This window comes from Homo sapiens, chromosome 4, assembly GCF_000001405.40.
Source record: "Homo sapiens chromosome 4, GRCh38.p14 Primary Assembly".
Classification (NCBI taxonomy): Eukaryota; Metazoa; Chordata; class Mammalia; order Primates; family Hominidae; genus Homo; species Homo sapiens.
The window spans coordinates 11,366,721-11,380,042 of record NC_000004.12 but is presented as its reverse complement, the minus strand read 5'-3'; the positions used below and the strand labels follow the sequence as shown (position 1 = coordinate 11,380,042).

The 13,322-nt window shown below is 44.0% G+C and overlaps 1 non-coding gene and 1 pseudogene across 1 annotated transcript; both read right to left on the bottom strand.

Moving 5' to 3' along the window:
• RNPS1P1 (RNA binding protein with serine rich domain 1 pseudogene 1) lies at positions 6,294 to 11,222 on the bottom strand (annotated as a pseudogene).
• MIR572 (microRNA 572) lies at positions 11,122 to 11,216 on the bottom strand. The gene has a single exon (NR_030298.1). It is a non-coding gene; the product is annotated as a microRNA 572 (primary transcript).

The window sequence follows — 13,322 nt, the reverse complement described above, 5'->3', positions numbered from 1 at the left end:
GAACTTTGACAAACCTGAGAAAAACAAGCAATGGGGAAAGGATTCCCTATTTAATAAATGGTGCTGGGAAAACTGGCTAGCCATATGTAGGAAGCTGAAACTGGATCCCTTCCTTACATCTTATACAAAAATCAATTCAAGATGGATTAAAGATTTAAACGTTAGACCTAAAACCATAAAAACCCTAGAAGAAAACCTAGGCATTACCATTCAGGACATAGGCATGGGCAAGGACTTCATGTCCAAAACACCAAAAGCAATGGCAACAAAAGACAAAATTGACAAATGGGATCTAATTAAACTGAAGAGCTTCTGCACAGCAAAAGAAACTACCATCAGAGTGAACAGGCAACCTACAAAATGGGAGAACATTTTCGCAACCTACTCATCTGACAAAGGGCTAATATCCAGAATCTACAATGAACTCAAACAAATTTACAAGAAAAAAACAAACAACCCCATCAAAAAGTGGGCGAAGGACATGAACAGACACTTCTCAAAAGAAGACATTTATGCAGCCAAAAAACACATGAAAACATGCTCATCATCACTGGCCATCAGAGAAATGCAAATCAAAACCACTATGAGATACCATCTCACACCAGTTAGAATGGCAATCATTAAAAAGTCAGGAAACAACAGGTGCTGGAGAGGATGTGGAGAAATAGGAACACTTTTCCACTGTTGGTGGGACTGTAAACTAGTTCAACCATTGTGGAAGTCAGTGTGGCAATTCCTCAGGGATCTAGAACTAGAGATACCATTTGACCCAGCCAACCCATTACTGGGTATATACCCAAAGAACTATAAATCATGCTGCTATAAAGACACATGCACACATATGTTTATTGTGGCATTATTCACAATAGCAAAGACTTGGAACCAACCCAAATGTCCAACAATGATAGACTGGATTAAGAAAATGTGGCACATATACACCATGGAATACTATGCAGCCATAAAAAATGATGAGTTCATGTCCTTTGTAGGGACATGGATGAAATTGGAAATCATCATTCTCAGTAAACTATCGCAAGAACAAAAAACCAAACCCCGCATATTCTCACTCATAGGTGGGAATTGAACAGTGAGATCACATGGACACAGGAAGGGGAATATCACACTCTGGGGACTGTGGTGGGGTGGGGGGAGAGGGGAGGGATAGCATTAGGAGATATACCTAATGCTAGATGACGAGTTAGTGGGTGCAGTGCACCAGCATGGCACATGTATACATATGTAACTAACCTGCACAGTGTGCACATGTACCCTAAAACTTAAAGTATAATTAAAAAAAAAAAAAAAAGAAAAGGCTGATGGTTTTCCTGTTCTTTCTTCTTACACATAGACAGATGCAGATTAAAGTTAATTTTCTTAAAACACTTCTACTAACTAGTTGAGAAATTTACTTTTTTCTAAAGATGATTGTTAACCGTTTTTCAAGGATGTAAAATGACTATTTTCAATTATCTATCATTTTTTTTCATTTTTATCGAGATGATTCCTTTAAAATTCAGTTATTTCCCCCTCTCAATGCAAATAGCCCTACTTACTATTATTATTTTTTTTCTAGAGAGGTGGAGGATGGCAAGTTTGAAAAGGACAAAAAGAATTGTAAAGGTCAAGGGATATCTCAGTCTTGCCCTTCTATTTATTAAAATCCAATCTTACCCTTATTCATGATTGTCAAAATGCAGAAACAACCTATGTCCATCGATTGATGAATGAATAAACTAAATGGACGTATTTATACAGTAGAATATTATTTAGGCAAGAAAATGTATGAAGTTCTGATACGCGCTGCAGCAAGGGCGAGCCTTGAAAATGTTAAGTGAAATAAACCAGACACAAAAGAATAAATCTTCTATGATTGCACTTACATGAAATATCTATAGTGGGAAAGTCCATAGAGATAGAAAGTAGATTAGCAGATACCAGGGGCTGGCGGGTAGGCAATGAAGTGTTATTGCTTAACTGGTATAAAGTTTCTGTTTGGGTGCTGAAAACTTTCTAGAAATAATGGTGATGGATGCACAACATTTTGAAAGCAATTAATGGCTCTGAATCATATAATCATACACATGAGATTAAAAGGGCAAATGTATGTTATATATATTTTACCACTATGTGAGTGTGTGTGTGTTTCTGTTTGTGTGTCCCAAAACAGGGGAAAACATTAATCTTACGTTCTATGTGAACTTTGTATTTAATTGCAAGCAAGTCAATTATGTTCTTGACTCATTTCTAGGATATGCATAAAATCTTCTATAAAAATGCTAAATCTATGCATCACTATTGCATGACAATTTCAGTTACCAATTGCTGCATTATTTATCAGTTTATAGATGGGAAATAAACATGGTACTTAACGTGAAGCAGGCTTAATTACACCCACTTTTCATGTGCCTAACATGTGACTTAGCTTCAAACCAAATAAATCATTTACACTTGTAACTTAAACTACTGTACAAGCGGTTTTCAGTTTCTCCCATCCTGAGAAGTATATTATTGCCTCTCTAAATCACGTTATTCCCAATCTACCTGTGAAACGTTCAGCGACACAACCTCAGTGTGAATGCATCATCAGTCAGCAATTTCCAGGGTGGAAATTAACCCCTTGCCCTCTCAGTTCTGTTAAACAACAATTCCTGATCATGCGTTGAGCATAGCTGCCCAAACTGGAGTAAGTACTAAATAGATAAGCTCCTTAATAGTCAAAAGCAGATAGTATACTTGAGCTGTAATAAATTAACCAAAAGAATACATTAACAAGGGGTGGGTGTACCTTCAAATTATTTTTGTTTTGTTTATCTCCATCAGACGCACAGGCTAATTGAGTAGGTATCATTTTGTATCGTATGCCAACTTCCTGCTAGATAGCAAGTGAAAAGTGTTATATAATTGGAAATAAAACTGACTATATTTAACGTCACATAGAGTTAAGTGTATATATGTATATGTGTGTGTGTATATATATATATATATATATATGCAGTCTTATATGGAGAAAATTTGACACCTTACAATCTGATTGGATTCCTTAAATAATAGTTTAGTTGTTTAAAATAAGTCCTGGGCAACTGGGCATTCTCCTACTAGAGGCCAGTAAATAGGAAGTTCAAGGGATTTGGGGGCTGATCAATAAATAAGATATGATCCTGAAAGGCTGTAACACACAACAAGCCTTATGGGGCAGTACTTGGACAGGGTTGCATAACAGGAAAGTCCTTACAGCACGAGACCATCCAGTGGTTTGAGTGCCCAGGTGATATTGCTAAACAGCAAGGCCGCGTCAGAAAGCTCCCAAAGGTAGCAGCTGCTTCTTCTGAATTTGTAATTACAAGGCCCTATCTTATCAATGGGTAACAATTACCTGGTGAGGTTTCCCGGAGTATGCAAAACAAGCAGGCTACAGTTGGCTTGTTTGGGTTATATTTTAAATAATTGGATATGCAAAAATATTTGACTTTGAAGCAAGTGGAATTTTGAGCTCAGGGGTCTCAGCCTTCTGCAAAGAAGTAAACAACCCAGTAGCCAATACATAGAGGCCATCTTTGGCTCACTTATATAACCATAAGAAACTAGAGTGTCTGCCTTACACAGGAATGGATTGTTCATCTTCAAGTAGACGTCTGTCAACTCAGAAGATCCATCAAATGGCTTGTATTTGTTTTCTATCGCCACGGAAACACATTGCCGCAACTTAGTGGCTTACACAAGAAAAATGTATTTTCTTACCGTTCTGAAATTTGGACGTTCAAACTCGGTCTTGGTGAGCTAAAATCAAAGTGTTGTCAGGAATCTGTTCCTTCTGGAGGCAATGGGAAGAATGTTTCATAAAGTCTTTTCTAGGTTTTAGAGTCCATTCTCATTTCTTGGCTAGTGGTCTCACATCAAATCACCTTCCTTCAGACTCTGATCTACCTCTGTTTCCCTCAAGATTCTTGTGACCACATTGGGTTCACCCAGGTAACTTATCTCCCCATTTCAAGACTCTAACCTTCATCATACCTGCAAAGTCCTTCTGCTGTGTAATTTAACATATTCACAGGTTCCAGGGACTAGGATGTGGATATCTGTGGTGACATTATTCAGCCCCCCAAGGGGTGCTGGAGAAAACACAGACTCCAGGTCTGTGAGGAGCCTCAGGTTCAGGACACAGATAAAAGGAAGCTCAATGGACTCCCTTCAAGGCAGCCTCTTAACTGCACTGAGTGACTTCTGGAAGGGGGTATCGCTATTTTCAAACATACAGGTAGTGAGGATGAAATTTATGGTTTTAACAACTCAAGTTCTTGTAGCCCAGGGAAGCATTCTGACTCCCAGCCCTGGAGCAGTTTAAGAGATAGAGCCAACAAAGTCAGGCTTGTCTTCCTCAGGTTTCTTCCTCTTCGGACCATACTGTTCCGTGTTCCCTTTTCAAAGTTTGGGCCTCTCTGCACCCTAAAATCCCAGTGACTCACAGGTGGCTCAGATGCAGTTCTTGTCCTGGTGGAGCCCATAGTTTCATGCGCTTCCATGTGAAGAGACCACCAAACAGGCTTTGTGTGAGCAATAAAGCTGTTTATTTCACCTGGGTGCGGGTGGGCTGAGTCCGAAAAGAGAGTCAGCAAAGGGTGGTGGATTATCATTAGTTCTTATAGGTTTTGGGATAGGCGGTGAAGTTAAGAGCAATGTTTTGCGGGCAGGGGTGGATCTCACAAAGTACATTCTCAAGGGTGGGGAGAATTACAAAGAACCTTCTTAAGGGTGGGGGAGATTACAAAGTACCTTCTTAAGGGTGGGGGAGATTACAAAATACATTGATCAGTTAGGGTGGGGCAGGAACAAATCACAACGGTGGAATGTCATCAGTTAAGGCTATTTTTACTTCTTTTGTGGATCTTCAGTTACTTCAGGACATCTGGATGTATACGTGCAAGTGACAGGGGATGCGATGGCTTGGCTTGGGCTCAGAGGCCTGACACATAGCCTGTTGCGAAAGACATAAATATAAATGGAGATTCCATTTCCTTCCAGGACCCTGAGCATCTAGCCAAACCATTGATTCTGCAGCCCATGCATTGACACATAATTGCATGTCTAGCCATTTCTCCTTCCAAGTAAAGTGCATAACCAGGTGCACTGCCCAATGTTCTATTCACTGGGAGGTTTTCCCTTTGCTACTGTCCTTCATGGATATTCTGGAAAGAGGCTGTGGAGCTGCAGCTGCCCACATTTGGTGGTGTCTGCATATTATGCAAAAACATCTGAAGCCTGGTTCAACTGTCCTCTTCCTCTGTCAACTGATCATAGGGTACTACCCACGAAGCCACAGGTGCAGGCTAGAAGAGAGAAGGCAGTGTAGCCAGAGTAGGGACCATGGGCATTTGGGTCACTTCTTCATGTAATTTACTTCTGCCTTCAGGACTTTCTTGGGTCTGAATCAGTATACAGAACTTCCTTTGGTGATGAAGTATTGTACTGCGTGCCTAACCTTATGGCTTGGTATGTCATGTAACACCCAGTTCATGATAAGTAGCACAGATAGCATGGATACTTAGTGGCCCATAGTCAAGCATTCAGTTTCTACTAAGGCCTAATAGCTGGCAGAGAGCTGTCTCTCAAAAGGAGAAGAGTTTTCTGAAGATGATGGCAGAGCTTGCTCCAAAATCCTAAAGCCTGTACTATTTGCTTATGGGGGCTGCAAATATTTCCATCTGCTACTAACATTTCAAGCACAGGTTATTCTGAAACACACAATATGATTGAACCATTATTCTATAATTTGAATCTGAGGGGTCCAAGGCTTGAGAATGTCACCTAACCTGATGGAATTCAGGCAGTGCCACATGAAGGCTGAACACACAAACCTAGAGTCAGGGTTATGGGTTCAAATCTCAACCTCTCTTCTGTCTATCTAGAGTGGAAATATCTCCAGACAGACAGAAGAGAGTTTGACCCTGGACAAGTTCTTTGACTCCCAGTGCTTCCTTCCATCAATGTTGGAATGGCAATGATAACGGCAATCCCTTACTGGATTACGGAGAGCTGAATAATCAAATGTGTGGAAAAGAAGAACTCTTCTCATGTGATTAGGTCATGAATAAATATTCATTATGATTGTTGCCTCACTTTAACTTAGCTCTCTACTCAAATACCACCAAATAAAGGCTTCCCTCACCACCTTATAACTTCTGCTAACTTTCGATTTTCATTGTACTGATTTTTCCTCATAGAACTGATCATTACTAGGTATATTAGTAACATACAGATTAAATATTATTTTAAATGTTGCCCCTTTTGTTTTAATTTTTTTTTTTTTAGATTTGCATTCCGATCTTGGGTTTATTCAACACAATTCTTCCACTCTACACAACAAAGTACAAACACAATGTCATCTAAAATGCTACAAAGGTATAAAACTCAAAAGAGAAATTTTATAGAACTGACTGTACAATAAAAGCAAAAAAGAAAAAAAATAAAAGCAATGTACATGTTGCCAAGATAACCTGAAAGACCACCATGAAGGACAGGCACAACCATGGCTGCGTGATGACCCCGCAGAGCTGGCTCTCAACTCACTCGCCAATTTCAGAGTACAGCGGTGGGGTGTGGTGTATGCATCGGTGCACGGACAGACAGAACCATGAGCAGCAACTACCATGGGTGAGAGGATCTTTGGGGGGCTGTGACCCTTGAAGTCAGAAGAGGCCTCGAGAGGCCAGGCCTAACAGCGTTGGCAGCTGCACTAAAGCCTGGGGCAGCTCCCTTTCCAAAAAGACACTGCCCAGCAACAGCAAGGGCACGGCCTGGCCACCATCCCAGGTCATCGGGGAAGGGAAAAGTGTGCTCCCAGGTAAGCAGGGTCAAACCACCCCCAAGAGCCTCACTTGTCCCTGGTGGCTCTGCCACTGAACTGACTCTTAAAACCGGAAACGGGTGAGCTTTCTAGCCAGAAAACCGGAGGGAATCTTGACAGGCACACAGCATCCAAGCCAACAGCACTTCTGCAGCCGGAGCCCGGCTGGCAGAGGGGTGCTGCCTGCTGCCTGCAAATCCTGCCAGAGTCAAGGGTTTGCTTTCCTACTGGTCTTGCTTTGGCTAGAAAAGTGACAAAACTGAGCTGGGTGGCGTATAAGTTACAGGGGCGAGAGCTTCAGTGGCCTGTTTATTGGGAGGAGTTGGAGCTGGAGCGGCTCCTGTGGCGGCGGCGGCCCGGGGACCGTGATCTCCGGCGCACGGGGGACCTGCGCCTCGGGGAGCGGGACCTTCTCCTCATCCGTGGGGGAGACCTGAGCCACATAGGCGGTGGTGGCAACATTCTCCTGGGAGGGCTGAATCTCCTGGGGGTTGGCCTAGGCCAGGGGGCCAGCACGACGGTGGCAGTGATCTCCTGGCCATCAATTTGTCCTCCATCCATGTGCTTCAGCGCCTTCTCAGCTTCATCTGGATTCTCAAACTCTACGCACGCATAGCCTTTGGACAGATGGGGATGCATCCTTTCCACGGGCATGTCAATCATTTTAATTTTCCCATAGGTGGAAAATATCTCCATGATGTGATCCTTTGTCACATTCCTGGTGAGTCTCCCAATGTGCACTTTGGTGGGCTTAGGAGATGGGCTCCGCCTTTTCCTCTCCTTTTCATCTCTTTTAGGTGGTTTGGATTTGGAGCGGGAGCGCCTCCTGTTGTCGTGTCTGCGCCGAGAAGGACTTGGAGAGCCAGAAGAGCTGCTAGAGCTGGAGCTGCGGGAGGTGCTGGAGCTTCCTGAGCGGCTGGAGGCTGAGGAAGAGCTGGAGCCACTGCTTGAGCCAGTGCTGGTGCTGGAGCCTGAGCTGGAAGTCGAGCTGGACCGAGACCTGGTACTGCTGCTACCACTGGAAGCGCTGTGCCTCTTTCGCGTTTTGTCCCGGCCGCGATCCTTCTCACTCGACTCCTTGGTGGCCCCTTTATCTTTTGAGCGATCCTTGGACTTCTCATCTGAGCGGTCTTTGCGTTTGGTAGGTGAAGGGGCCCTAGTGCTGGACTTTTTATTATTTTCTTTGACTCCCAGCAAGCTCTTCTTTTTCACTCCTGATAAATCCATTCTCCCCTTCTGAGGTGTTCAAAGCAGCAATGGCGGCCTCACTTATCTGAACTCTCACTTCTAACTTGATTCTGAGAAACGATCCCTAATCGATTGCAATTTACGCCAAAGAGCGGCCTCCTCCAAGAGCCAGTTGGTAAGGAGGACGCAGCACACCAATGTGGTCCTGGTTTCCCTGTGCAGTGCATGCCAGGGGTGCTTCAAAATGCTGCTGAAAATATGTTCTGACCCAAGAAAGAAAAGCACTTGGCTTTGAACAGTCAAATGAGAGCCAAGGAGGGCCGAACGCCACCTTTGCTGCTCTTGTCCAGGGGTAAAATGTTTTGCTTTAGAACAGTAAGGTTCTGCAGACACCCAGCAGATAGTGCCTCGACACTGTGTCCTCGGACAATCAGTGAGTATCATTCAGAGTATAATTTAGAGTCTGGAGCCAGAGGGCCTGGGTTTGATTTGAGGTTTTACTGTGTGATTTTAGACAAGTCACTTATCCTTTCTCAAGTTTCTCATCATCAATATGGTGACAATTACAGTTCCAACCTTATAGTTACCCAGGGCATTAATTAAAGACTCGATAAATGTTAGGAGCAAGAGTTGTATCTCCACGTCCGGAGGCTCCTTCCCCCACAGACACTTGTCTCCAAATTTACACGTAATTTCTAAACTCTCAGCTGGGTTCCTGCACCCACCCGCCTTAGGATCACCTGCAGCAGCACTGTCCAGTAGAAACCGTGTGAGGAGCCACAAGCATCACCTGAAATTCCTTAGTAGCCACGTCACAAAAATGGGTGAAATTAATTTTTAACATTTGACACATCCAAAATATTATCTTTCCAACATATAATCAACATAAAAATCTAATAAAGGTTTGCTTTTTTCCTAGTCTTCTAAAACTGGTGTGTGTTTTAATATTTCAGTCTTGATTAGCTGTATTTCACATGCTTAGTAGCCACATGTGGCCAATGGCTACTTTGCTGGACAGCACAGACCTAGAGTGGCGGTCACACCCGCAGATTCCAGCCCCACCCCCCCAAGAACTAAAGATCTGCCCAAATGTACTTTGTGAAATCAAACACCACCAGTTATTCTTTTTTTTTTTTATTATACTTTAAGTTTTAGAGTACATGTGCACATTGTGCAGGTTAGTTACATATGTATACATGTGCCATGCTGGTGTGCTGCACCCACCAACTCGTCATCTAGCATTAGGTATATCTCCCAATGCTATCCCTCCCCCCACCCCACCACAGTCCCCAGAGTGTGATATTCCCCTTCCTGTGTCCATGTGATCTCATTGTTCAATTCCCACCTATGAGTGAGAATATGCGGTGTTTGGTTTTTTGTTCTTGCGATAGTTTACTGAGAATGATGATTTCCAATTTCATCCATGTCCCTACAAAGGACATGAACTCATCATTTTTTATGGCTGCATAGTATTCCATGGTGTATATGTGCCACATTTTCTTAATCCAGTCTATCATTGTTGGACATTTGGGTTGGTTCCAAGTCTTTGCTATTGTGAATAATGCCACAATAAACACACGTGTGCATGTGTCTTTATAGCAGCATGATTTATAGTTCTTTGGGTATATACCCAGTAATGGGATGGCTGGGTCAAATGGTATCTCTAGTTCTAGATCCCTGAGGAATTGCCACACTGAATTCCACAATGGTTGAACTAGTTTACAGTCCCACCAACAGTGTAAAAGTGTTCCTATTTCTCCACATCCTCTCCAGCACCTGTTGTTTCCTGACTTTTTAATGATTGCCATTCTAACTGGTGTGAGATGGTATCTCACTGTGGTTTTCATTTGCATTTCTCTGATGGCCAGTGATGATGAGCATTTTTTCATGTGTTTTTTGGCTGCATAAATGTCTTCTTTGGGATTCCCTATTTAATAAATGGTGCTGGGAAAACTGGCTAGCCATATGTAGAAAGCTGAAACTGGATCCCTTCCTTACACCTTATACAAAAATCAATTCAAGATGGATTAAAGACTTAAACGTTAGACCTAAAATCATAAAAACCCTAGAAGAAAACCTAGGCTAATTTACCATTCAGGACATAGGCATGGGCAAGGACTTCATGTCCAAAACACCAAAAGCAATGGCAACAAAAGACAAAATTGACAAATGGGATCTAATTAAACTCAAGAGCTTCTGCACAGCCAAAGAAACTACCATCAGAGTGAACAGGCAACCTACAAAATGGGAGAAAATTTTCGCAACCTACTCATCTGACAAAGGGCTAATATCCAGAATCTACAATGAACTCAAACAAATTTACAAGAAAAAAACAAACAACCCCATCAAAAAGTGGGCAAAGGACATGAACAGCCACCAGTTATTCTTAAGCACTCCAAACACTGAGAACCACTGAGTAAGCGGACGCCTTGCTGGGTGCGGTCGAGTGCTAGAAAGCAAAAGTTGAGGTTCTCTGTTCACCCAAGTTCAGGTACCGGCTCAGGACCTCGGTTACCTCCCCCATCCTCTGGAAAGGTGCGCGTCCAACAGCCAGAGAGAGGAGAGAACAATTAGTTAAATCTCGAGGAGAGGGCGTTTCGGCACAAATCTTCAGAGCACCTTCCCCATTTAAAAGTACATTTCAGGCACAGTTCATGCGGAATCAAGACAAAAAGCCTACTCCACGTTTCTCCTCCAACAACCTTAATCTTCCCGTATCCGCCCCTCTGGGGTAACCCATCAAACTGAGCTCGGCCACCGTGCTCGGTCCATAGTGGGCCGTATCCCCAAGGCCTAGCGTCGATAATTGCACACGGGAGTCCGGGAAACGTTCGCGGAGTACACGTTTGAATTAATGACTCCGAAGGGGGGATCAGCCGACCTTCCACCGCATCCCACAAAGAAACTCCGCGCCCGCCGACACCGGCCCGACACGCCGACCTTGCCGCTACCCGTCCGCGTTCACTCACAACTTCCCCGTCCAGGCGCCGGGCCGCGAGCGCTTCCAGGGCAGGGCCTAGCGTTGGGGGCTTGGGTCTCCGGCCCAGCGGGAGAGCCCCAAGGGCGGAGGTCGCGCTCCCCGCTGGTCTGAGTCCCGCGGGCCTGGCTGGGCCACCGCCGAGCGGACGAAGCACAGGCGCCCTTCCGCCCGCAGCGGCCCCGACCACTTCCGGGCCACGGCCTCGACACCTCCTAATGCGCCCGCCCCGGGCCACACTCTTTCTTCTCGGAGCCCGCACCGCGCTGCCAGACCACCGCCGCACTGCGGGGCTGAGGAGTGGACCGGCTTCACGATGCGTCCTGCCGGGCAGCCCCCGAAACACGGATGCGGTCGGATTCCGCGCCAACTTACATCTTCCCGCCGCCACCACCTCCTCCTGCTTTCCTCAGCCGCCGAGGCCGGCGCCGCTCTCTGTTTTAATTTTTTTTACCAAATGTAATTCATTTAAATCATTCTACAGATATTAACTGACCACCTACTATGTGCCAGGACCCATTCATGGGACTGGAAATATAACAGTAATTAAAAGGTAAAATTTTGTTCACCTTCTTTTCTGGTGTTCACTTACTGACCTTCACTACCAGGAGCCTGTCTCCATGAGAGTAGGGACTCTGTGTCTTCGATTCATTCCTCAAAACTCAGAACCTAGAACAGTGACTATCCCATAAAGTCAACACTTAGTGAATAAACAAATGAGTGAGTGAGTAATATTTTTACCCGGCACATGAAAATTGTCACCAGGGAAGAAAAGAGGAGCAAACCTTGAAGCTCTTTAACACGGAGAGAGCTGGGTAATGGAATGCATCTGAGATTTCCTCTTTATGATTCTGCAGGGTCTGTGCTTTTTCTTAGTGTGGAAAGTGAAAATCAGAGACATTAAACAACTTCCTCAAGGACACACAGTTCGATGGAAATGGAGTCAGAATTCTAATCCAGGTCTATTTGACCACCAACTCTGCAATTTACCTACTATATCTGTGCAGAAGAGCCCTGAGTTACAGACCAGTAATGAGAAGAAATAGTGAAGGGTTGGCAAACACCTCAGTTACATAAGGAGTTTCTCTAGGCTGTGTGCATCACCCCACACTCCATCTAAAATAGATGTTGGAGATTTTAAACATCTAGGGTTTAGATACCTGAAAAAAATAAATCATTTTAGTGGTTTATGAAAAAAGGAAGGAAGAAGAGGAGAAGCAGCAGCAGGAGGAGGTGGAGGAGGAGGAGAAGGAGCAGGAAGGGGAAGAGGAGGGAGGGAGTGGAAAAGAAGAAGAGAAAAAATGAGTAAGCGGGCGGACACTTAGTTGGCCTTTTGCTCACATCAGTAGTTCATCCTTGGCCACCAATTGCACACTTGAAGTTGTTTACCTTCCTGGAGGATTTCTCAATCGTTCATTGTGAAGGATTCCTAGCCTCTCCTCAGTGGACAGCCAAGAGCCTCCTCTCAGCTGGGAGCCTTCCTCCCATTCACTGCAGTCTCCCTGAACTGCTTCCAGAGCCCAGCTTCTCTGGCCAATGGCCAAGGACTCAAACAGGCACTGTTCTTTCAGCACAGAAACACAGAAACCAAGTGCCTTGGTACAAACAGAAGGCTGCATTCTTTGGCTAGGATCTGGGAGAGATAATTACCCCGCAAGGTCTTCCTCTCATCTAAGCTGTTGTTTAGCTAGACAGCACAACAGAGTTTGTGGAAAGTGCTGCACAAAGGTTTAGTTCATTCGTTTGCTGACCCTGTGATTAGTGACGGTGAGCCTCACCTTCCTGAGCTACAGATTTCCTTCTCTGAAAAGGGTCATAGAACTAGATTATCTTTAAATTTCTGAAAAATTCCAAAACATGATAATTTCTCCTAGGTATGAAAGAAGAAAGTTTAAGAAAAAAGGAAATTTTCTTCCTTCTTTGCTTCCTTCCTTCCTTCCCTCCTTCCCTCCCTGCCTCCTTCCCTTCCCTTCCCTTCCCTTCCCTTCCCCTCCCTTCCTTTCTCCTCCCTCCTTCCTGTCTTCTTTTTCCTCTCTCTCTCTCTAATGTACCAAGATTTTAAGTAAATAATTTCTGCATGAAATTAGTACCTTGAAATTTTGAAGTTGTCTTGGGTAGAAGCCAGAAAGATATCCTCTAAAAAGCTGTAGACATTTTATTATGCTCCTTACATGATGAAACTTGAGGACTCCTTTGCAGCCACCTTTTCCTCTGTTCATTATTTACAAATCTCATTTCTTGAGATGTCATAGAGGAATTCAGTGATGGGTTTGGTCATGGAAACCTATTTTCCATTTTTCATTTTCCATGCTACAC